The 24892-nt window shown below is 40.5% G+C and overlaps 1 protein-coding gene and 1 long non-coding RNA gene across 9 annotated transcripts in view, besides 8 other annotated features; one reads left to right on the top strand and one right to left on the bottom strand.

Moving 5' to 3' along the window:
• KLHL7-DT (KLHL7 divergent transcript) lies at nucleotides 1317–5792 on the bottom strand. Its single transcript, NR_046220.1, has 3 exons — nucleotides 5648–5792; nucleotides 4339–4406; nucleotides 1317–3667 (listed from the first exon to the last, which is right to left on the bottom strand). It is a non-coding gene; the product is annotated as a KLHL7 divergent transcript (long non-coding RNA).
• Nucleotides 5062–6048: an enhancer, noted in NCBI's record as "H3K27ac hESC enhancer chr7:23144592-23145578 (GRCh37/hg19 assembly coordinates)". NCBI's record gives its function as "activates a minimal SCP1, AML or CMV promoter by ChIP-STARR-seq in primed H9 embryonic stem cells {active_cell/tissue: H9 hESC(primed)}" and the evidence as "EXISTENCE:reporter gene assay evidence [ECO:0000049][PMID:30033119]".
• Nucleotides 5671–5860: an enhancer, noted in NCBI's record as "active region_25716". NCBI's record gives its function as "activates an Ori minimal core promoter by ATAC-STARR-seq in GM12878 lymphoblastoid cells {active_cell/tissue: GM12878}" and the evidence as "EXISTENCE:reporter gene assay evidence [ECO:0000049][PMID:35858748]".
• Nucleotides 5874–24892, top strand: part of KLHL7 (kelch like family member 7) — a 72130-nt gene continuing 53111 nt past the window's right edge. For 4 of the 8 annotated variants that reach the window (NM_001031710.3, XM_006715757.5, XM_017012440.3 and 1 more), the window contains exons 1-3: nucleotides 5874–6235; nucleotides 23866–23968; nucleotides 24777–24870. In NM_001031710.3, the coding sequence (NP_001026880.2) occupies nucleotides 6116–6235; nucleotides 23866–23968; nucleotides 24777–24870 (317 nt within the window). In that variant the 5' untranslated portion in view covers nucleotides 5874–6115. Of the gene's footprint in view, nucleotides 6236–6749; nucleotides 6884–17922; nucleotides 18054–23865; nucleotides 23969–24776; nucleotides 24871–24892 lie in introns of those variants that run through there. The other 4 variants (NR_033328.2, NR_033329.2, XM_047420615.1 and 1 more) reach the window with 3 other exon arrangements.
• Nucleotides 5981–6260: an enhancer, noted in NCBI's record as "active region_25717". NCBI's record gives its function as "activates an Ori minimal core promoter by ATAC-STARR-seq in GM12878 lymphoblastoid cells {active_cell/tissue: GM12878}" and the evidence as "EXISTENCE:reporter gene assay evidence [ECO:0000049][PMID:35858748]".
• Nucleotides 5981–7035: a biological region, named in NCBI's record as "H3K27ac hESC enhancer GRCh37_chr7:23145579-23146565".
• Nucleotides 6049–7035: an enhancer, noted in NCBI's record as "H3K27ac hESC enhancer chr7:23145579-23146565 (GRCh37/hg19 assembly coordinates)". NCBI's record gives its function as "activates a minimal SCP1, AML or CMV promoter by ChIP-STARR-seq in primed H9 embryonic stem cells {active_cell/tissue: H9 hESC(primed)}" and the evidence as "EXISTENCE:reporter gene assay evidence [ECO:0000049][PMID:30033119]".
• Nucleotides 6741–6820: an enhancer, noted in NCBI's record as "active region_25718". NCBI's record gives its function as "activates an Ori minimal core promoter by ATAC-STARR-seq in GM12878 lymphoblastoid cells {active_cell/tissue: GM12878}" and the evidence as "EXISTENCE:reporter gene assay evidence [ECO:0000049][PMID:35858748]".
• Nucleotides 14203–15148: an enhancer, noted in NCBI's record as "H3K27ac-H3K4me1 hESC enhancer chr7:23153733-23154678 (GRCh37/hg19 assembly coordinates)". NCBI's record gives its function as "activates a minimal SCP1, AML or CMV promoter by ChIP-STARR-seq in primed H9 embryonic stem cells {active_cell/tissue: H9 hESC(primed)}" and the evidence as "EXISTENCE:reporter gene assay evidence [ECO:0000049][PMID:30033119]".
• Nucleotides 15938–16580: an enhancer, noted in NCBI's record as "OCT4-NANOG-H3K27ac hESC enhancer chr7:23155468-23156110 (GRCh37/hg19 assembly coordinates)". NCBI's record gives its function as "activates a minimal SCP1, AML or CMV promoter by ChIP-STARR-seq in naive and primed H9 embryonic stem cells {active_cell/tissue: H9 hESC(naive and primed)}" and the evidence as "EXISTENCE:reporter gene assay evidence [ECO:0000049][PMID:30033119]".

The raw sequence follows: 24892 nt of genomic DNA on the forward strand, positions 1-24892 counted from the left end.
CAGATAGTTAAAAAAAAAAAAAAAAAAAGTATGATAGAGGGAAAATCAGGGTGAAATGAGACAATAGACTCAAGCTATTGTGGTTAAAATATCTTACTTTTATAAATTTTACAAAGCCAAATTGCTATGTGAACACATTGCTAGGCCCACAGCTTTGAAATCAGGCTGTTCAAGTTTAGAGACCCTGAATTTTAAGCTTGGATAATCCCCAGACCCCTGCCCACCACCTGGTCTTTTGTCTGATTTCTCTCTGGGTTTCTGCTTTTTTTTTTTTTTTTTTTTTTTCATTCTGCAGTCTCTGCAGACTGCTGCCTTTCTCTGCTTATCACATACACCGTCCAAATTGGCTGGCTGAGCCCCTTGTACATACTTCCAGTAGAACTGCTGCACACAAGCTCATCAACATCCATCTGTCCAGTGTCCAAAGAGAACATGATGCTCTTTACTTCAGCTTATTAATTGGGTCTCTTTGGTTTAGGTGTTCAACCTTAATCCAATAAACTGAGACCAGGTAGAGGTAAAGCCCCACAGAATAGGTACAGCTTTAGGAATCCCTCCTGTGGGTGAACAGAGGAGTAAGCAACTCACAGAAAATGGGAATTGGCTAAGTTGACACTTCAAGAAGTACTGGACTATAGAAAAGTTCAATAGGTTTAAGTAATAGGTACAGAAAACCTTCTCTAAACACTTAATATGCAAATATATTTTGGGATTTTTCACCAAGGATATATTTTACATGTCTCCCAAAATTGTCGCAAAGGTTCTCTACCAATCGCATGAGTCTGGTGAGAGAGACAGAACACTCACACAGGCTAGACAAAGATTTACTATGCACAGATAGATGAGCAGCAGGAATAAATAGAAGCCTAGGATCCACAGCAAGCCAGTCCTCTAAGGCTCAAGAAAGCTGCTGAGTGTGGAAAGGGTCTTATCTGTGTGTGCTCCACATTCCACTGCAGCTGAGGGACACTGAAAGCACTGTGCTCTGGGTTTTATACTCTAGGTGGCACTAGGATCACTGAGAACAAGCGCTGCAGTACACCCTGTTCTGGGAGGAACAAGGACACAATATGGATTATTCTGGACATCACCTCTCTATCTCAGAAAGTTGCATTCTCGGTTATTCTGAGAACTACAAGTTGCAGGGAGAGCTGGATTGGCCAAGATCACCCAAGGACCTATCCTCCTGTGGGTGCATTCCCAGAGAACCAGTTCAGGTTAGGGGAATCATAAGACTAGTTGTATTCCAAGAAACACATTTTGGGAAATGCTAGATTAAATAGTAACAAAGTTAATACAGGACAGGCACACATTTTATTTGCAGTATGCTTTATTGTGCTTCACAGATACTGCATGTTCTTTTGTTTGTTTTTTTTGCAAATTAATCGTTTGTGGCAACCCTGCATGGATCAAGTCTATCAGTACCATTTTTCCAACAGCATGTGCTCACTTTATTGTTTCTCTGAGTCACATTTTGGTAATTCTTGCAATATTTCAAACATTATTATTATTATCATTATCATTATATCTGTTATGGTGACCTGTGAACAGTGATGTTTGATGTTACTATTATAATTGTTTTGGAGCACCATGAACCGAGCCCATAAAACAGCGAATTTAATCAATAAATGTTGCGTGTGTTCTCACTGCTCCAGTGACCAGCTGTTCCCCATTTCTCTTTGTGTCCCCAGGCCTCTCTATTCCTCCAGACACAACAATATTGCAATTAAGCCAAGTAATAACCCTACAATAGCCTCTAAGTGTTCAAGTGAAAGAAGAGTTGCACATCTCTAACTTTAAATAAATAGCTAGAAATGACTATGCTTAGTGAGGAAGGCATGTTGAAAGCCAAGACTGGGAAGCTAGGCCTCTTGGCACCAAACAGCCACACTGTGAGTGAAAAGCAAACAAGCTTGGAGGAAATTTAAAGTGCTACTCCAGTGAACACATAAATGATAATAAAGCAAACCAGCCTTAATGCTGATATGAAGAAAGTTTTAGTGGTCTAAATAAATCAAACCAGCTACCACATTCCCTTAAGCCAAAACCTAACCCAGAGCAAGATCCTAACACTATTCAGTTCTATGAAAGCTGAAAGAAGTAAGGAAGTTGCCCAAGAAAATCTAGAAGATAGCAGAGGTTCGTTCCTGTGGTTTAAGGAAAGAAGCTATCTCCTTAACATGAAAGTGTAAGGTAAGGCAACAAGTGCTGATGTAGAAACTGTAGCAAGTTATCCAGAAGATCTAGCTAAGATCATCGAAGAGGGTGGCTACACCAAACAACAGATTTTCAATGTACATGAAACAACTTCTATTGGAAGAAGATGCCATCTAAGACTTTCATAGCTAGAGAGGAGAAGTCCATGCCTGTTTTCATACTTTCAAGGACAGGCTGACTCTTCTTGTTAGGAGTTAATGCAGTTGGTTACTTGAAGTTGAAGCCAGTGCCCATTTACCATTCCAAAAATCCTAGGGTCCTGACAAATTATGCTAAATCTGCTCTACCAGTGCTCTATAAATGGAACAACGATACCTAGCTGGCAGCACATCTGTTTACAACACAGCTTTCTGAATATTTTAAGTCCACTGTTGAGACCTACTGCTCAAAAAAAAAGGTGTCCTTTCAAAATATTACTGGTCATTGACAATGCACGTGGTCACCCAAGAGCTATAATGGTGCTATATGAGGAGATTAATCTTGTTTTCATGACTGCTAACACAATGTCTATTCTACAGCCCATGGATCAAGGAGTCATTTTGATTTTTAGGTGTTATTATTTAAAATATACATTTAATAAGGCTAGAGCTACCACAGACAGTGATTCTTCTGATGGAACTGGGCAAAGCACATAGAAAACCTTCTGGAAAAGATTCACCATTCTAGATGCCATTAAGAACATTTGTGATTAGGAGGAGGTCAAAATATCAACATTCACAGAAATTTGGAAGTTGATTCCAACCCTCACGGATGACTTTGAGAGGTTTGAAATTTCTGTGGAGAAAGTACCTGCAGATGTGGTGGAAATAGAAAAACAACTAGAATTAGAAGTGGAATTTGATGTGACTGAATTGCTGCAATCTCATGATAAAACTTGAATGGGTGAAGAGTTGCTTCTTATGGCTGAGCAAAGAAAGTGGTTGTTTGAAAAGGAATCTATTCATGGTGAAGACTCTGTAAATATTGTTGAAATGACAACAAAGGATGTGGAATAGTGCATAAACTTAGTTGACCAAGCAGAGACAAGGTTTGAGAGAATTGACTCCAATTTTGAAAGAAGTTCTACTATGGGTAAAATGCTATCAAACAGCATTGCATGATATGGAGAAATCCTTTGTGAAAGGGAGTCAATCAATGCAGCAAACTTCATTGTTGTCTTATTTTAAGAAATTGCCATAGCCATTCCCAACATTCAGAAACTACCATTCTGATCAGTCAGCAACCTGACCCTGATCAGTCAGCACCTATCAACATTGAGGCAAGACCTTCCACAAGCAAAATGACTGTGAATCTAGTGGGCATGGTGATGTGGGCCTGTAGTCCCAGCTCCTCAGGAGGCTGAAGCAGGAGGACTGCTTGACCCCGGGAGTTTGAGGCTGTAGTGTAGTATGATCACATCTGTGAATAAGCCACTGTACTCAATCCTGGAGAACACAGCAAGACTCCATCTCTTAAAAAAAAAGAAATAAAAATAAAAATAAATTTAAAACTTGCAACTTGCAAAGGCTTAGATGATCATTAGCAACTTTTTGGCAACAAAGCACTTTTTAAGGTATGTGCATTGCTTTTGCAGACATAATATTATTGCACACTTAATAGACCACAGTATAGTGTAAACATAACTTGCATATGTTTTGGGAAACCAAAAAATTTGTGTGATTCACTTTACTGCGATATTTACTTTATGTGGTGGTCTGGAACAGAACCCAAAATATCTCTGAAGTATGTGTGTATTATTAACTCAGTAAAGTAATTTTAAGTGTCTTGTGCTGGCACCCCTCTAAGCATTTTTATAAACCTTACGCCAGTTCCATGTAGTAGGTTCTACTTTCACAGATAAGGAGACTGAGGCATAACAGAAGTTAATCAATTTGCCCAAAGTTGCACAACTAGAAAGTTGAGATGTTTGACTTTGCATCCAGGCAAAGTCTCATGCTTAATCCCTGTACTATATAATCTCTGTGGCCTCTTTGAGCTCTGAATCCTATGGCTCTTCCATGAACTTTGATGTTTTATATTCAGCAATATGTAAAAAGACTGTTCTAACATCAAGGACTAAGGATGCTGTTCCTCGTTTCTTTTTTGCCTTATTACAGGACAGCATTCTTTTTCATCACTTACATTTCTGCCTTTGAATCACGGATCCTTCATCTCCCAAGGCCTTAGAGTTAGAAGACAGATTTCTACTTCTTTTCAATTAAAAAAAAAAGAAAAAAATTTATTCCGTTTTTCTTCAGTGTCCTGGGTCATTTAATAAAGTGAATGAAAAATTTTCTCATTTATAATTTTATTAACAATAAATTATTCCTATTGCCAGGGTTCACCTGAAATCCCCAAATCAACTAGTTAAAATAGAGGCACATCTGAGAACCTCTAGATTAATAGAAGAAAGATAAAGAGTACAGAGACATAAGTATCTTACTCTTTTGTAAAAATTGAGGCGTATATATAGCTTGCTCTTTCATCTGGATTATGCTATATGGTTTGTCCTCAACAAGAAAAGTATACTGTGGGCCAGGCCTGGCCGCTCATTCCTGTAATCCCAGCACTTTGGGAGGCCTAGGCGGGAGGATTGCATAACACCAGGAGTTCGAGACAAGCCTGGGCAACATAGTGTGACCTCTTCACCACCACCACCACCACCACCACCACCACCAAAAAAATTTAAAAATTAAAACTTAGCCCAGAGTGGTGTTGCACGCCTGTAGTTTCAGCTACTTGGGAGGCTGAGATGGGAGGATTGCTTGAGCCCAGGAGTGCTGAGGCTTCAGTGAGCTATGATTAGCCACTGCACCGCACCCCCAGCCTGGGCGACAGGGCCGAGACCCTGCCTCCAAAAAAAAAAAAAAAAGCCTCAATGGTGTAAATTATTTTACATAAAATGTCTCTGTATAGTCCTATATAGACCGAGGAGGAAAACCAATGAGATATAAAGTTTTCATAATGTTAAATAATGTACAATTTCAAATAATCCTGTATATTACTATACAGTAGAAAGAATATGGTTACAAAAAACATTTCCATGAGGGCTGTGATTGAGTTCCGTGTTCCCGTAAAACACTTAGAGAAGCCTAACTGAAGATTTCTAGAACCGACTGACAACTGATTTCAGTTGTAAACACACAGTAAGCCAGCCTAGTTAGGCAGACATTCATTGCACGCCAAGGAGACACCAACGGGACTGTGTGCTCTTGCGTTATGAATCCCACGAAAATAAATCTTGTGCTCCGTGTAACATGACTTTAACTTGCAGTAATATCCTTTCATCATTTAATATTTATTGAGCGCCTACCATACACCAGGCTCAGATACTGCACTGAACACCGACCCTGTCCCATGAAGCCTTACACTGATGGGAGACACCTTTGCATGTTCCACAACCCAATTATCAAAAAAAAAAAAAAAAAAAAGATAATCACGTAACCGAAACCTGGAAATCTGCCTTGGGCACACAAAAGAGCAGGCGCGACCTCGGACCAGCTCCGAGGCAAAATTCACTCAGCGCGGGACAGCGACAGGGAATCCGGCCGCACCTGTGCCTGCAGTCTCATTGCTCGGAACGGCGCGCCACTGTGACGTGTCAGGCCCCGCCCCTGACTCTCCTCATAGTGCCCCCGCCTCCTTGCGCGAAGTGCGCAGGCTCCTGGGCAGGGCTCGGGTTCTGCCCGGGGACGCAGCCCAGTTGGTAGCGTCGCTCCCTGAGCGTTTCTAAGGGGGCCGCCCGGCCTTGTCTTTCGGCAGTGGCCGAGCCACCGCCGCCTGCCGCGCGTTCCAGAGCTGGGCGCTGCAGCTGCACTGCCGATCGCCGTGTTTGGTCGATAGAATCCCCAGTGTGCCCAGAGAGTGCGACCCCTCGCCCGGCCCGGCGAGCCCCGGGCGTGAACCGAGCTGAGGGAGGATGGCAGCCTCTGGGGTGGAGAAGAGCAGCAAGAAGAAGACCGAGAAGAAACTTGCTGCTCGGGAAGAAGCTAAATTGTTGGCGGGTTTCATGGGCGTCATGAATAACATGCGGAAACAGGTACCGCCTCTGTGGGAGTGACGGACGACGGTGGGAGGTGGTCCGGGGCTCGGGCCCCTGGTTCCCGGGGTGGAACCCCGCGCCCTGTGGATCGCGCCCCTCTTTCTCTGTCCTCGCCCCTCCTTCCGTTTTCGCAGGCGAGCGATTCCGCAGTTGGTAGAGGGGCGCGTAAAACAATTCTCGAGCAAAAGTGCTTCTCGTCTGCCGAGGATGTAGCTCCCAAGTCAGACTCCTGGGGGACTCCTCAGGCTGGCTTTCGCCGTCGGGTATCGGTTGTGTAACAGCTCTGCCCTAGTTATCTCTTTGTGGGGCGAGGATCCTTCCATTGGCGAGCCGTTTTAAGGTGCCGTGAGATCTTGTGTGAAGAAACCCGTTGGCATAGCCCAAACCGAAGCCCCCAAAGGGAGGAGAGTTGCTGGCCTGACATCAGCTGCTCTTAAATAAGGATCCCCGCCCCCTCCTGTGTTCCCCGGTGGAGCTAGTTGAAGAGGAGTCCTCCTGTTCGTGCTAATTTAGAGCAGAAGCAGCCATCGATAAATACCATGCCATCTTCTAAGGGCACTGTGCGCCTCTGTTATTAAGAGGAGCTCTTTGTTCTGTCCTTGGTGTGTGGTGCATTCGTGAAATTCTGCAGCACATCGGCGAAAGGTGGGTTATGAAAAGAACGGATTTTAACGCTGGCGAAGGTGAAACAAAGAGGCTTTTTTTTTTTTTAATTCCATAACATCTACACCGATAAGCATAGAAAGTCACTTTTTCCTTTCTGTAAGCTTTATTTATAGATAATACACATCTAAGTAGATTTGTGGGAATGTTTGGGTTTTGTTGACTGGGATCCTGTTTCAAGGGGACAAAGCAGGATGTGAGTTATGTGTAACTGCAAAACCTAGTTTGCTTTGTCTGGTGGTTCTGCTGGGAATATGGGCAACAGTAGAGGAATTTAAGATTTTTATGAAGATATTAACTTCTGGTTTCTATAAGCAAACGCTGACTGCTGGGATTTTGTCTTTGTTCACCAGCTCCTGCTACAGTGCACCAGTGCAGTCTGTGGGAATGCTTTTAAATCTTTCCTGGCCTGGCCTTTGTGCTGAAGTACTGTGAATGCCTGAATTCGTTAATTTATGTAACTGACTTTCATGTATCTATTTTCAAATTCATGTTCCTTTCATGTAAACCTTTTTGTATCTACAATACCACAGACTTCAAATTGCTGGTGCATTTAGCTATTGCCTGCCTGTAATGGTAGTTGAACATAGTTAACCAGGGCTTAAACTCGTTGAAGACTCATTAGGTTCCCTCCCACTCCCTCGAATATATGTTTTCATTCGTGGATCATAGCATTGTAAAGCATTGCCTTAATCCCTAAATAGGGTGAAACTGGATTGCAGCAGCAAATATTTACTTGAGGAGCAGAGGATTATCTGAGACTGTCCGTTTAGCTCTTTGGATTTAAAAAGTGACTCACATTTCTTAGCTTTGGAGTATATTAACATCACTTATTTACCGTTACAATAGAAGTACAATTACTGAAAAATCAGGGTTCTGTTACTGAGTAGGAAGGAAAAAATGGTTACCTGGTGAACAACCAGGGGTCCCCTCCACAATGATTAACTGACCTTAATCTGCCAGGTTCTCCTGTTGTCAGTGGTTTGGCATGTGATTCAAACAGTTCTCCAATAGCACTTTTATCAACTTCATGGAATCATGCATCTTTTGCAAGATGTGCAGTTTCACTTCGCAATTGATTTACATTATGGTTATATTGTATTGTCCTGTTTAACATCATAACACAGGAAACAATTGACCGAGAATGACTGACAAGGGCAGTTGATGGGAATTGGCAGAAACAGTGGCTGGTCTGAGCCAGAGTAGGAATGTTTGAGTGAGGACCAACTTTATAAGTGCTCTTGTTCTTTAGTAAATATTTTTGTGTTATGACTACTTTTACATCCCTTTACAATCTCATTGCTTTAAGGATCAGGATAATGAGTGCCTAGATGACAAGGACCCCTCTGTAAACATCCAGAAACATTCCTTCAAGAATTTGAGAACATTGTGAGATTAGCATACCTCAGTTCCAATCCTGCTCTCTCATTATTTCATTTTGTTATTTTAGATAACATGATTTGGGTCATTCCATCTCTCTGTAGTATAGTGGCCGATTCTATACATAGAGGCAAAAGGGGATTCTGCAGAGCCAGCAGCCTCGGCTTCTTCTAAAGCCTTTTCCTACATTGTTTTTGTCATTTCTAGCCTTTTGTTTCTAAGTAAACTCTCCAGTGAAGTATGGGATACATATAAGAGGGCACAAATCATAAATGTATAGCTCAATTATTACAAAGTGCACATCCCACCAACAAGACGAGAACATGACCAGTACACCAGAGGTCCCCCCTTATGCCCTTCTCAGTCACCAACCCCACAGTAGTAACAACTATTCTAACTCTGTAACCATCGAAGTTAGAGCAGAAGCAACCATTGATAAATACCATGCCATGCCATCTTCTAAGGGCACTATGCACCCCTGTTATTAAGAGGAGCTCTTTGTTCTGTCTTTGGTGTGTGGTGCATTCATGAAAGTCTGCAGCACATCGGCAAAAAGTGGGTTTTTCCTGTGTTTGAACTTATATAAATGTAATCATATGGCATAAACTCTTGTGTTTTGTTTTCTTAAAGCCAACATTGTTTGTGAGATTCATCTGTGCTGTGTGTAGCGCTACTTCATCCTTGTGGTATATAGTATCCCATTGAATGAATATAGCACAATTTATCCATTCTATCATTATGAACATTTGGGTTATTTCTAGTTTGGAACTATTAAGACTAGTACTACTTTGAACATTTTTGTACACTTTGTACATGCCTTTTGGTATGCATATGTATGTATTAATATTTGTGTTGGGAAATACCAAACAGGAATTTTTGAGTCATAAGCTATACCACCTTCAGCTTTAAAAGATATCGTCGTGTAGTTTTCCAAAGTGATTGTACCATGTTACGCTTCTGCCAGTTGTGTGTGAGAGAGGTTTTTGCTCCGCATCCCTGCCATCACTTGATGTTGTCAGTCTTATCACTTTAGCCATTCTAACTGGGTGTATAGGAGCATCTTATTTAATTGGATTGAGTACCTTTTCATTTATTTCTTTAACTTTTTGCTTAGATTAATGTTATTACCTGATATGTAAAATAGAGGCTTTACAAGGCAGGTCTGGGTCACAGTCACTATTGCACATGCACATTGCTGTTGCCATACTCTTCTTTTGTGTTAATGAAGTCCAGGAGTCTCTTAACATTGGAGGAAGATGTTTTAAGACCTTCCTGAGTACCACCATAGTTTATAGTTTCTCCACATTAAATGAATTAAAGCATAACTGGAACTTGAAAGCTTATGTTAAAGTCCTTATTGAGAGTTATGTGAGAGAACTACAAAGCTGATTTCACAATTAGATACTGGGCAGTTAACTGGGCTCACCTTCCGGCTAAAATGACTTTGCTTCTGTATTCTCATCTGTCTGACTGTAAATTACTACATGTCATTATCTTTAGGTTCTCTTGTGAATAATCTAAACCTTCAGTGTTAAACCCTTGATATTAATAAGACTTCTTGAGCACTTATAACTGTTCCAGCCACTCTGCAGAGTGTTTTACATGCTTTGTCTCATTTAATTCTCTTAACTTTCATTGACAATTCCAGTCATCCAGACCTTCTTATTCTTTTTCCTGTACTTTACTGTTTTCTGTTTTCTTTTTCTGTCTGTCCAGCTTAGAAGCTATTGTCACTCCACTGTCTCTCCAGTGTCCCAGTTTTCTTGACCCTCTGTCCCTTTTTCATGTCCATCTGGCAAACTTGAGTATTGATGACTGATTACCTTCTTTGTGCAAGGCTCCAAGCACAGCTGGAAAATATCTCACTGGGCAACTTCTGCCAAGTAAGTGCTTGGCCACTAATTTCCACTAGACTATCAGTGCCCGTGAGCAATCTTTTTGTTTTACTATTTTCCTCCAATCTGAGTCCTTTCTCTAGATCCTCACTTTCAGCAGATCACCTTCTTTTGACACCATAGATAAATAGAAGTCATTAGTCTAGAACTGTCTACCTTTTCACTTTCTACCACCAGATCTATAAACCTATTTTGACACTTTCCCTTTTCTCTTCTTATCCTGCTACAATGGAGATGCTGCTGCTTTTTCTAAGGCCAGTACTTCTACCTAGGCTTTGGCTTCCTGGATGCTGGGCTTCTCAGAAGTATTATACTGTTGGTTATTCCATCTTTGTTGAGCATCTTTAACTTTTCTTCTTTGCTGGATTCTTGCTATTAGCACTTAAGCTTGTTTTAACCTCTCCAGCTTTTGAACCAAACAACCAGCAAACCCATTCTTAATCTCAACATACCCCTCTAAATACTTCTCTCCCCCCATTAAGATGAAAAGCTGAGTAAATTCACTACATTTTCTTTTGTTTTTTTTTTAATTTTATTATTATTATACTTTAAGTTTTAGGGTACATGTGCACAATGTGCAGGTTTGTTACATATGTATACATGTGCCATATTGGTGTGCTGCACCCATTAACTCGTCATTTAGTATTAGGTATATCTCCTAATGCTATCCCTCCCCCCTCCCCCCACCCCACAACAGTCCCCAAAGTGTGATGTTCCCCTTCCTGTGTCCGTGTGTTCTCATTGTTCAAGTCCCACCTATGAGTGAGAACATGCGGTTCACTACATTTTCTTACTTACTATTTATTTATTACTCTAGTTCAATTTGGCTTCCAAGTTCATTCATTGAAATGAATACTTATTGACAACCCACTGTATGCTAAACATTTTGCTAGATTCTGGGGTTGCAATGATAAGCAAACCCTGACAGTCCCAATCCTCTTGTGGTTTATAGGCTAGTAGAAAAGCAAGACATTAGTCAAGTAATCACACAAATAAATGTAATATTGCAACAGTGGTAGGTATTACACAGGAGAATAACATGGTACAACGAGGGCATATGGGTGGGTAATTTGACCATCAGGAAGTTTTCTCTAAGGAAATGGTCATTGAGAGCTGAAATAAGAGTAGGTGTTAACTAGGTAAAGAGAAAAGGGAAGAGTGACTCAAGTAGAGGGAACAACATATTCAGAGGCTCTGAGTTGGAGACCTACTTTATTATAGAATGGCAAGTTCGAGACTGATTAAAGGTCAGTGTAATTGGAGCACAGAACATAAGGCGGACGATGGTTCTAGATGAAACTGGCGAAGTAGCTAGAGACCTGCCCATGCATAGCTTCATAAGTCAAGTTAGGTGATTTGCCCTTATTCTAAAATCTGTGTATGCATGTTTGTGTGCATGTGCATGCATGTTTGTAGAGATGGTATGTTTTCTTCTTTAAAAAAGATGACTTGGCCTGGCACAATGGCTCACACATGTAATCCCAGCACTTTGGGAGGCTGAGACAGGTGGATCACCTGAGGTCAGGAGTTTGAGACCAGTCTGGCTAACATGGTGAAACTCCATCTTTACTAAAAATACAAAAAATTAGCCAGGCATAGTCGCACGTGCCTGTAGTCCAAGCTACTCAGAAGACTGAGGCAGGAGAATTGGTTGAACCCGGGAGGCAGAGGTTGTGGTGAGCCAAGATTGCACCATTGCACTCCAGCCTGGAGACAGAGTGAGACTCCGTCTCAAAAAAAAAAAAAAAAAAAAAAAAAAGACTTACTGCTTTGTGGTAAATGAATTAAAGAGTTTTCAGAGTGCTTGCTGGCAGACCAAATAGGAAGCTGTAGTGGTCCAGTGAGACATGATGGTCCTTTGGACTGAGGTGATGACAGTGGCAGCCATAAGCAACATCAATGAAGAAAAAGTGATAGATTAAAAAGATAATAAAATCAACAGGACTTGGTGATGATAACTGCCATATGTGGTTGTGATAACTAAATTAGGTAACCAAATTAAGATAACTTAAAATACGACCTGATAACAAGTAACATCTCAGTAAGTGTTAGCTATTTGTATTGTGATGCTGGTACATGATTGGATGTTGAGGGATTCAGCATAAGGTGTCACTTATGATCTCTAGGGTTCTGGAATGCATAACTAAATGGATGATGACACTATTCACTGAGAAAGGAGGTATTGGAAAAGGATCAAAGCATTGGGGAAAGGATTATAATTTGTGTTTTAGATGTGTTTAATTTGTGATATCATTGTGACACTGAAGTATATATGACAAATTGACAGGTCTGGAAAGTTGTGGGTTAGATGTATATATTTGTGAATTATCTGCATATAGAAGATAACTTCTTCATTGAAGCTGTGAAGAGTCAAGAGTCCAGAGTCCAGAATAAAGGATAGAAAATGGGCCTATGGAGGAGATAACAAAGGAATCACCAGAAGAATAGGAGAAAAATGAGAGTTTCGAAAATTGGGAAGAAATTGTTTCTCCTTCCCAGCAAGTCAGGATGGCCAAATGGTCTAAAGCACTGTATTCACAGGAGGACTGCAACTTTTGAAGCTGGTAAAAGATCAGAATAAGATTAAAACTAAAAATACTTATAGTAGGACATAGCAACACAGAGTGGTTTGTTGACTGTAGTAAGACTTATTTTGATGGGCAGACAAATGGGAATCAGATTAATGTAAGCTGAAGTGAGTAGAATATGAGGAAATTCTGGCAGCTGTTTTGAGAAATTTGGCCTTGAAGGGAGAGGGAGTCAAACGAAGGTTGCTGGGTTTTATTTGTTTAAATGGGAAAGATATAGGTGTCTTTAAAAACTAGTGGGAAAAAGAGATGTAGAGGTTGGATATATATGAGACAGAGTGGGCAATTAATAGATAATTCCTGATATGAGATCCAAAGCAAATGTGATTAATCTCAGACAGGGGTGGCGGGGCAGTTCCTCTTCCATAAGAAGTGGGAAGAAAGAGGGGATTGATAGTAGGTGTGTTTGGAATCAGAAGAATGAAGGAGTTTCTATCCAGTGATTTCTCTTTTCTCTAAAAAAAAAAAATAGAATGAGATCATCTGCTAAAATGAAGGAGTAAGAAGGCAAAGCTGGAGGTTGAGGAATGTAGTCTTTGCGAAGAATAGAAATGGTATTATGGCTGTCAGTATTTTTGAAGATTCTTTTGACATTGTTATGAACTTACGTTGAATATTAAGCTAGCCTTCAAAGCCCTGTCTTTTGTTCTTTTTACCTGAACAGGAGGTAAAAATGAGGAGGCTAATATAGGCAGGTCACAGTCTTAACTTTCAATCCCATGGAAACATTTTTCTATCACTTGGTGGAATCACTTTTCTTTTGGGCCTCAAAATCTCTAAACTAACAGAACCCACTAGCAGAAAGACTAATTGCTGAGATTAGAAGCAAAATTTTTGTAAGTGAATCATTAAGTATAATATTGAAGGGAGCCAGGCCGGGCACAGTGGCTTACGCCTGTAATCCCAGCACTTTGGGAAGCTGGGGCAGGCAGATCACTTGAGGCCAGGAGTTCACGACTAACCTGGCCAACATGGTGAAACCCCGTCTCTACTAAAAATACAAAAATTAGCCGGGTGACGCATGCCTGTAATCCCAGCTACTCAGGGGGCTGAGGCATGAGAATCGATTGAACCCAGGAGGCGGAAGTTGTTGTGAGCCGAGATCGTGCCATTGCACTCCAGCCTGGGCAACAAGAGCGAAACTCTGTCTCAAAAAAACCCCCCGAATATTGAAGGGAGCCTCTTCCATTTTTTGGTTGCCAGGCTGTTAATTCTTGCTACATAGAGACCATGCTGTCTATATAAATTATATCAGATTAGCTTATTTGAGAATGAATTCTGCTACATAAAAAAGAAGCTTGAAAAGCACGAATGTAAGAAGCTGAAAGGAAATGAGGCATCTTGAGCTCATATCTACCTCACTTCCTCACTTTGTCAAATGAGAGAGGAGTTGCTAATCTAATTAAGTTAGAACTGAAGACACTGTTGTTTTATTAATGGTAAAGTTACTCTGTTGAGGGCTACCTTGTTGTATTTAAGGAATCCATCTGCTGAGTAGGACAGGTAAGGTATGTGTTATGATGGACTCCATAAGCTGGGTTTGGGCCAAACCATCTCTCATTTTTCCCATGTAGGACATACGACTGTGCAGCTTCCAAAATTTAGATTATTGGGATATGTAGGGGCAATTTAAAGTTTGGCTTATCAAGCAAAGCCTCATTTTCCAACTTTGTTTTATGAGAGAAGCACTGCATATGGGAGATTAACAAGTACTTGCCCTTCAGTCAAAAGTGCATCTTCTTATGTCTCGTTTGGTTATTGATACTTCCTTATATAAACAACCTGAGTTGAGAATCTCAGTGGGCTGAATGATAGAATTCAGGCACCAAAGCCCCACCCCAAACTCCAGCACAAAGTAGCTGGACCAAGTAGCTGTAAGTTCTTTTTTCCAAGTTTGCCTTGTCTTTTGGTCTATTTTCTTACTAGCTCAGGGAATGCTTTGTTCTATCTTAAATGCTTATGTGGCTACTTTCCTCTACCAATAACTGTTCTTTTTTGTATCATCCGAATACCAGCTTAAGAGGTTATTTAAATTTTTACCCAAGAAAGCTTTGAAATGGGTGGATAACTATTAACACCAGGCCTTGAGATACTACAGGCTGGCAATTCACTTCTATTTCCCATCTCAAATTTTTCTAAGCCAAGGTGTCATAGCTCTCTAGATGTTCTGTGGTGAACCAAATGACAGCCTAAAGCACTCCATATAATTCTGTATTAGCAACACAGAATCTCCCAAATCTGACTGTTATGAGCCCTCTCATGATTAAATTCCAACATCTATGCTCATCCTCTGAATTAAAATGAAAGGCAATTGAATTCCAAATATGTGCTCACCCTGGTTTCTTATACTGTTCAGTTTAGTCAGCCAGAAAGCGTTTGCTTGAGTGTTTGGGTACAGTCAGGGTAGCTTCTTCAGCAGCTGCAATGTGGGCTGGCTTCCATTGGAATGGATTTAGTTAGCTTAGCACCTCCAAAGCTGAATTTGTCCAATTTCAAGGTAGTTGATGCCACACTTTCCGGTATGTTAGAACGTCCCTAGGATTGATATAAGAAGATCTCTCATCTCTGTACCAAACAGCCCAGATGTTGACATTTTATTTATACAGTCCTAACCCACATTATTTTTTGCAGCCAAAAACAGAATATAAACTTTGGTTTCTGGGGAACAGAGGGTTTTCAAAGAAAACATAACAATCTTGGCTTTTGGCTTGCCAGTCTGAATCAGCTTTCTGTAATCTATAGACTCTAGGGCTAAACTCAGTTGGGAGGAATCTTCCATGCTTATAGGGGCACTGTTTACCATCTATAGAAGAGATTTATTCAATGTATATTGATGCTTCTCTGGCATAGGACTCATTTTGGGTTTTTTTTGTTTGTTTTTTTTTTGAGATGGAGTCTCGCTCTGTCGTCCAGGCTGGAGTGCAGTGGCGTGATCTCGGCTCCCTGCAACCTCTGCCTCCCAGGTTCAAGCATTTCTCCTGCCTCAGCCTCCCGAGCAGCTGGGATTACCGGGCGTCCACCACCACACCCGGCTAATTTTTTGTATTTTAGTAGAGACGGGGTTTTACCATGTTAGCCAGGATGTCCTCGATCTCCTGACCTCGTGATCTGCCGGCCTCAGCCTCCCAAAGTGCTGGGATTACAGGAGTGAGCCACTGCGACTGGCCAGGACTCATTCTTTTTCTTAGACAATTGTTAGAGATTTGCCAGGGTGATAATACTCAGCTACCAGGTATCATAGAGTTTCCCTTTTTTCCCTATTATCCATCCTGCACATTTAAAGCTTAATTTTGATATCTTTTTTGAACCCTATGTTCCTGGCAACCTAATGCTGAAATGATTGAGTTCTATCTAATGACAAAGCCTTCTCTCATTTTTGAGAGGAGAGTGATTTACATTTGTAGCCAGCAGTTCTGCAGAGCACAGTTTGTGGCCTTGCATTCCTTACAATTCTGAGCTTCCTGATTGTTCTGCACTTTTGTGTGCCCATTAAGATCCTGTCATGCTGTGAAATTCCTTGTATCTATGAATCCTGTCTCTTGGAGGGGTTTGTCCTCCTTTCCTCTCCATTTGTCTCAGCTGGAGAATGGCCTTTAACATTCCTTTAAGGCCCGTGGTCCCACAGGGACCACTATGGCCCTTACAGCATGCTCCTCAAAACCTTGCTTTTCCTCAGTATTTGAAATTTCTAGGCCTTGCAAACTCAGCAGCAGCGCAGACATGTTCCTTTCTGTCACCTATTTGTGTCAAAATGGGCTATGTCTCTAGTGTTGCATTTTCCTCTGTGGTACATCTGTTCTTTCAGGCAGCCTCAGCTGACTTGTTAACCTGCTTAAGTTGGATCTTTTCCTTTCTACATCAGGTAGCTGACCTTTTTAGATTAGAATACCTTTCTTTTTCTTTTCCTTATGATTTTGGTGTTTGTTTTGCTTGCATACATATTCCTCTAATGCCTTTCCTACAGAACTTCCCCTAGTGGAAAATAAGAGAGCACATGTGTTCAGAATTAGCTCAGCTACTGCCAGCCGTCACTACTCTCAGAAAGGTAATTCTAATTGTGGGGATGTCCAGCATATAACTTAGAGCTGGACTACTTTTGGGTTATTTGACTTACTTTAATGTGATCTAGTACTCTCCCTTACAGTCTTAATTCCACAAACTTCTCAGTTCCACTATATACCATATGCCATATAGCAAATACCACACCTGTCTTCCCAGCAATATCACCTTGAAAATTACTTAATAATGCAAGAAATACTCTTGCTGATCTTTCTCCTTTTCAAATCTGTCTGAACTTAATTGTAATGGCCTATTATAGTTGTCCTATTCTTTAAGAGAAATCCTCTAATTTTCTCTTAATATCTTTAGCATTAAGAGGAATCATAAAATTTTCCTAGAGCCAGGCCTTTTTTTTTTTTTTTTTTTTTTTTGAGATCAAGTCTCGCTCTGTCACCCAGGCTGGAGTGCAGTGGCATGATCTCAGCTCACTGCAACCTCTGCCTCCCGGGTTCAAGTGATTCTCCTGCCTCAGCCTCCCGAGTAGCTGCTATTACAGACGCGCACCACCACGCCTGGCTAATTTTTGTATTTTTAGTAGAGTTAGGGTTTCGCCATGTTGGCCAGGCTGGTCTTGAACTCCTGACCCCAGGTGATCCACATGCCTTGGCTCCCAAAGTGCTGATCCAGGCCTTTCTGAGAGAACTGTTTTAACCTACTCCTGAATTCTTACTTCTCTTCTTCTATTCCTGTTTGGTCCATAACACCTTCCTTGAATAAATAACAAAAATAGCTTTTTTTTCTTAGTCCCAGCTCTTAAAGGGCAATTATGCCCAAGTCTCCTTTCCTTTGCAAAGCTGTTTGGCCTGACCTGGCATATGTTTCCCTTAAGGAAGGCAGTCCCTCTTTTCCTTCTGCTTAGTCTAGGTATCTTCCTTTGTTTTTCCTTCACTATCCCACTTGCCTTATTCTAATTGTGTATGTGTTTAAGTTCAATCCTGTTTTTCTCTGCTTTTCTGACAAATGTGATTTCTAGAGAAGTCTTTTTAATGTTTCTTAGCCTTTGCATTTATTATTGCTTTATTGAAGCTTTTCTAGTAACTAATCCAAGAAAATTATTTACCCCATCTAATAAGGGCCTCATTTCCCTTTATGTTTTCAGTGATTTAAATCTACCACCCAGCTGTAGTTGAATCTACAATCTGCTCAGGGATTTATACTCAATGCCAATTTGATATCATGCTGGGAGGGACTGATTGCAGAACCTTCTTGACAAGCCACATAAATCTAAAGGTTAGTCATTCCTCAGTCTTCTCTTTGGGATATAACAAAGAATAGAACGTGGGGCAGTTGACTGCATGCCTCTTACTAATGACAGCACATGTGATTAAAAGCTAATCCTCATACAGTGCTTTAGCACTTACATGGACCCAACTGCCTTTTGTAATCCTGTCGAGTAAACTTGATAGAGAGCAAAAGGTCATGATACCAACAGATGCCTAAAATGTCTGCTGCTTCTGAGGTGAGCCTTTACTAGAACCAAAGGATTCTTCCTGTAAAAGCCCCCAAATCTTTCAGGCACTAAAGCAGCACCAAAGTTTCTTTCTTTATGACGCGTTGAGTATCTGTGCATACATATTTGAGGACCCGTCACTACTAGTTCTAACTATAGGACATTGACCTGAGCATTAAATTGGGCTTTCTATTCTTTCTTCCCTAAACTAAACTTACCCACCCAGTCTGAGGCAGAGCAGCTGATGAGCAGGAACAGTCCTCTCCTGCCAGAGGAGCAACCCTGCCCCAATGATTGATGTCCCACTTTTGGGGCAGACCTAGGAAAGAAGAATGAGCCAGAATGCCTGGCTATCTGTTGTCGGTGTCCTCTGCCACACTCTTGTTCATCCTGTATTCACTCTTCCACATGTGATGGATGGAGACTGAAGCTTCCTTCTCAGTACTTACCTTCCCAGGGGAAGAGGGAATACATTATGAGTGAGGAATCTCATGGTTCCTTAAATGATTAAGTTATCTCAGTATCATTTTTGATTATCTGATCTCTTATCACATTATTTCCTAGACTTTTTTTTTAAGAGCAGTTTTAATTTCATAGAAAATTTGAGCCAGGTGTGGTAGCTCGTGCCTGTAATCCCTATACTTTGAGAGGCCAAGGTAGTAAGATTGCTTTAATGCAGGAGTTGGAGACCAGCCTGGGCAACACAGTGAGACCTCGTCTCTACAAAAGAAAAAAAAATTAGCCAGGCATGGTGGTACACGCCTGTGGTCCCAGCTACTTGGGACGAGGGGTGGGAGGATCACTTGAGCCCAGGAGTTCGAGGCTGCAGTAAGCCGAGATTGCACCACTGCACTCCAGCCTGGATGATAGAGCAAAACCTTGTCTCAAAAAAGAAAAAGAAAAATTGAGCAGAAAGTATAGTATTTAAATTTATTCCCTCACCTCCTTCTCTACACACAGTTACCCCTATCATTAACATATTGCATTAGTGTGGTATGTTTGTTACAATTGATGAGTCAATATTGTTCCTTTTTTTTTGAGACAGAATCTCGCTCTGTTGTCTAGGCTGGAATGTAGTGGCACGATCTCTGCTCACTGCAGCCTCTGTCTCCTGGGTTCAAGCGATTCTCATGCCTCAGCCTCCTGAGTAGCTGGGATTACAGGCGTGCGCCACCACGTCCAGCTAATTTTTGTATTTTTACTAGAGACAGGGTTTCGCCATGTTGGCCAGGCTGGTCTCAAACTCCTCAAGTGATCCACCCATCTCAGCCTCCCAAAGTGCTGGGATTACAGGGGTAAGCCACTGTGCCCAGCCCCCAATATTGTCACATATTATTAACATTCATAGTTTACATTAGGGTTGACTCTGTGTTGCACATGTTACAGGTTTTGACAAATGTATAATGACATGTATACACCATTACAATATCCTACAGACTAGTTTCACTGCCCTAAACATGTCCTGTTCTCCACCTTCTCACTACATTTTTGAAATGGTATCTTTGTCATATATCAAATTGCCACTTAATGAAGATCCCTCACATTTTTTTTGTTTCTCAATATTTAATTATTTTGTTGCTTCTATGACTTGGGATTTTTTTTTCATTTGTGTTTCTTTATGGCTTATTTCTCATACAAGATAGCTAATTGTGTTTCCATATTTATCTTATTTGTGTCTGGCCATTTTACTGACTTTTCTTGTTATTTCTATAAGTGTAACTTGATTTATCTTTATCGTCTTACTAATTTGGCTAAGATTTCCAGAGCAAGGTTGAATAACAGTAATGACAAGGATTTGTATACCTGGTTTGTTTTATTTTATTATTATTTTATTTATTTTATTTTATTTTTGAGTCTCACTCTCACCCAGGCTGGAGTGCCGTGGCACAATCTCGGCTCACTGCAACCTTTTGCCCCCGGGCTCAAGCGATCCTCCCACCTCAGCCTCCCAAGTAGCTGGGACCACAAATGCGTGCCACCACACCTGGCTATGTTTTTGTATTTTTGGTAGAGATGGGTTTTACCATGTTGCCCATGCTGACCTTGAACTCCTGAGATCAAGCCATCTGCCCACCTCGGCCTTCCAAAGTGTTTGGGATTACAGGCATGAGTCACCACACCCAGCCCCATATACCTTGTTTCAAGACTGAAATGAGAACATGTCTGATGTTTCACTATTACATGTGATGTCTGCTGTTGATTTCTTAAAAATTTTTTTTTGTTTTAATTGACAAATAATAGTTGTACTTATACGGAATGTAGTGATGTTTCAATGCATATAATGTCTAGTGAACAAATCAGGCTAATTAGCATATCCATTCTCTCAAACGCTTATTTCTCTTTGTTGGGAACATTCAATATCTTCTTTCTAGAATCTAATATTTATTATTATTATTTTATTAGAGACAGGCTTGCTCTGTCACCCAGACTGGAGTGCAGTGGCATGATCACAGCTCAGTGCAACCTCAAACTCCTGGGCTCAAGTGATCCTCCCATTTCAACCTCCCAAGTAGCTGGGACTACAGGCATGTGCCATCACACCTGGTTAATTTTTTATTTTTAGTAGAGTCAGGGTCTCACTATGTTGCCTAGGCTGGCCGTGAACTCCTGGTTTCAAGCAATTCTGCCTTAGCCTACCAAAGTGCTGGGATTACAGATGTAACCCACTGCTCCCAGCCTGAATCTATTACTGTTAACTATAGTCATCCTACAGTGATATAGAATATTAGAACTTTTTCCTCCCATCTGGCTGTAATTTTATGTCCTTTAACAAACCTCTCTCTATCCCTCCTTCCGCCTCCCCTTCCCTCTACCCTTTCCAGCCTCTAGTATCTTCTGTTCTGCTTTTTACTTGGATAAGATCAACCTTTTTAGCTTACACATATGAGTGAGAACATGTAGCATTTAACTTTCTGTTCCTAGCTTATTTCAACTAACATAATGTCTTCCAGTTCCATCCACATTGCCGTGAAAGACAAGATTTCATTCTTTGCTATGGCTGAATATTATTCCATGGTGTATATATACCATATTTTCTTTATCAATTCGTCTATCACTGGACACCTAGGTTGACTCTATATCTTGGCTGTTGTGCATAGTGCTGCAGTAAACATGGGGGTGCAGATGTCTCTTTGTTATAATGATATCACTGGAGTACAGTGATGCAATCACAACTCACTGCAACCTCCACCTCTGGGGCTCAAGTGATCCTCTTACCTCAGCACCACCCCCACCTCCAGTCACTGGGACTACAGACACACACCACCACGCCTGGCTAATTTTTGTATTTTTTTTTTGTAGAGACAGAGTTTCATCATGTTGCCCCGGCTGGTCTCGAATTCCTAGGCTCAAGCAATCCACCTGCCTTGGCCTCCCAAAAATGCTAGGATTGGAGGTGTGAGCGACCACACCGAGCCCCCATTTCTTGTCTGTGGATATACCTTTCTTTAGCTTATTAATAACAGGAGGGGCCTTTCACTATAGGTCAGTCCCATCCTTTTTTTTTTTTTTTTAGTTGAGATAGAGTCTCGCTCTGTTGCCCAGGCTGGAGTGCAGTGGCTCGATCTCAGCTCACTGCAAGCTCCGCCTCCTGGGTTCATGCCGTTCTCCTGCCTCAGTCTCCCAAGTAGCTGGGACTACAGGTGCCCACCACCACACCTGGCTAATTTTTTGTATTTTTAGTAGAGGCGGGATTTCACTGTGTTAGCCAGGATGGTCTCAATCTGCTGACCTTGTGATCCGCCCGCCTCAGCCTCCCAAGGTGCTGGGATTACAGGCATGAGTCGCTGCACCCGGCAGTCCCATCTCTTATTGGAAATTATCAGTCTATTGTAGTATAGGCAAATAAATGTACCATTTGGATACAAAAGACTCTTCCTACTTATTTTCCCCACCCCTCCAACCATTAATATCCAGCTGGACATTAATCTTAGACTAAAACTCAGTTGCTGTACAAAGATCTACATTTCTTCAACCTCCTTCAGTGCCTATAAAGTCATTCTACTTATAAACTCTGTTGTTGAGTATGCCTTGGAGATGTTTTTGCTGTATTTTGGTTTAACCCTATGTTTCATAGAAGTTCCATCACTGGCCATAGATTTCTCCCCATGATCTGATATAATCTGATTTGCTTGATGCTTTATCATCTTTATTCTTCACTCCCCACCCCTTTCTCCCTCTCCTTCTCTCCCTCCTTTGACCTCCAAGGCAACTTGATCACTTGTTTTTTGGTGGTAACCAAATAGTTAACTTGGTTATGCTACTTGGTATTTTTTGGTATAGTATGTAGCAAAAACACCTGAGAGATCTGCCTCTGTACCCCCTCCCCAAATGAAATAAAATTTAAAAATTCAAGACACTATGAGAATAAAAATAGCTTTAGTTATAAACCTGCATATAAGTTTTAAGCAATAGTCAATACTAGGCCTTATTTGAAAATCTTCAAATAAGCTGTAAAAGTGAAATTTTGTTCATTTCCTAGCCTGCTATTTGAGGCTTATTTTCTCTCTCATTCTAAACATTATTATTTTATTTTATCTTCACAAAATAATACAATAACAGATTTATCTATCAGAAACTATATTAACAGTTTTAGTAAAATACTTAAAATTTGCAAAATGCAAATCCTCTGAGCCATGAAGCCAATCTTAGATTTGTAAGCGATATTTTTTTTACTCTGAATATATTATTTGCCTCATATTCCCAGTGCCTAGGACAGTCTTTAATACATTGTATACACCAAGTTTTCTGTAAGCCTAATCTCTATATTTTGTCTTTAACTTCGTTAAGAAATTAAGATTTTATTTGGCAAAAAGGACATTTATTTTTCTTGATATTCATTTATAAGTGTTCTAGTAAGCCTTAAATTTTTTCTTTATTATTCCGTTTTCCCCACATTTTAATTAAGTATTACTCAGAGCTGCCTTCTTTAAGCAGCTTATGGTGATACTATTTTGACGTTGGTCAGAAATCAGAATTTAAAACTGGCTGCTATCCAGCTTCTATCAGAAGTGCATTTGAGAGAAGTGTTATTTAATAAAAGATTGCTGAAAGGACATTTAGTTCATCTCCTCTCTGTATTCTGAGCTGTTTCTGTTTCAAGTTAGATCTGTGAATGCTACTTTCTTAGGAAATGCAGTGTATGTTCTCAATTTCATCAAGGATAAATAATGGAAAATAAATCATATAAAAACTAATTGCTGTGTTTGAAAAACTGTCAGGGTGTCAGGGGCACTGCCATGATGTCATTGAATTTCCCCCAGAAAAGCTTACCATGAGAAATGTCCTAGAATCTGTGTCAGAAAAAAAAAAAAAAAAAGACTTCTCTGAAGGGTTAGTAGACTTGTTTCTGATTATGAGGAACTTTTTCTTTCCTCTTGACTGTTGGAAAACTCAGTGCAAAATTTTTATACTACATGGCAGCGACTCTGTAAGTCCTTTCTAAATATGTCTTCAAAAGAAATTCTGCGCTGGAAAAAGATTGGCTTTAAATAGAAAATAGAGATAAAGCATTTGGCAAGCACCTTTTTAACATGTATTGCCAAGCTAGGCTAGTGAGCCTCTTTTTATTTTATGTATTTTTCCTTTGATTAGAAAACGTTGTGTGACGTGATCCTCATGGTCCAGGAAAGAAAGATACCTGCTCATCGTGTTGTTCTTGCTGCAGCCAGTCATTTTTTTAACTTAATGTTCACAAGTAAGTATCTTAAGGTAAAACATGCCATTATTTCTTCTATGAGAATGAAGTAAAATCTAAAAGAGAATATGTCATTTTTCTAATTTTTAAAGCAGTTAAGAACTTAAGGCCACAGAACAGTGAAGAGATTGAAAAAGTAGTCAGCTGATAACCAAAGGAAAAAATGTCCTTTCATTAGACCTAAAGGCCTGATGCCTTTATTGATGGAGGTACAGCTTCTACTTAAAAGCCCAGGGTTGAGGTGGAGGTTGCAGTGAGCCGAGATTGCACCACTGCACTCCATCCTGGGCGTCAGAGCGAGACTCTGTCTCAAAAAAAAAAAAAAAAAAAAAAAAAAAAAAAAGCCCAGGGTTTTCTTTTTAACCTTAGGTGGAAAGACAAAGAAGCAGATAAATTTCATAATATTTTAGCCGGCAAGTTAAACTTTAAAAAAAAAATAGCTGTAGCATATTGTGCCAGAAAGAACCCTGGATTTGGTGTTCAGAACTGGGTCCAAGTCCTACTTCCTCTACTTAGTACTATTTTATGAGCTTGGGAAAAAAACAAAATCTAGTTTTATGTTTCTGTTAATATGGTCTTAAAAAGAAGTACACTAATTCACTCTTTTCTTAGCTTAATTTAAGGCACATCTTGGGTGGAGAATTAATTTGCATTGACTATAGAAATGTTGGGCTTGCTGGGGCATTTTCTTCCAGAGAGAACTGTCCCGTTATTTTTCTGCATATTTAACATGGCCTGGAATGCCGTGGTTCCTCAGTCAAACTTGTGGTAGTACAGATGCCATTTATGTTTCTTCTCTTCATTGTAGCTAACATGCTTGAATCAAAGTCCTTTGAAGTAGAACTCAAAGATGCTGAACCTGATATTATTGAACAACTGGTGGAATTTGCTTATACTGCTAGGTGAGTTAAGTATTATTTTTAT

Source organism: Homo sapiens, chromosome 7 (assembly GCF_000001405.40).
Source record: "Homo sapiens chromosome 7, GRCh38.p14 Primary Assembly".
NCBI classification, from domain to species: Eukaryota; Metazoa; Chordata; class Mammalia; order Primates; family Hominidae; genus Homo; species Homo sapiens.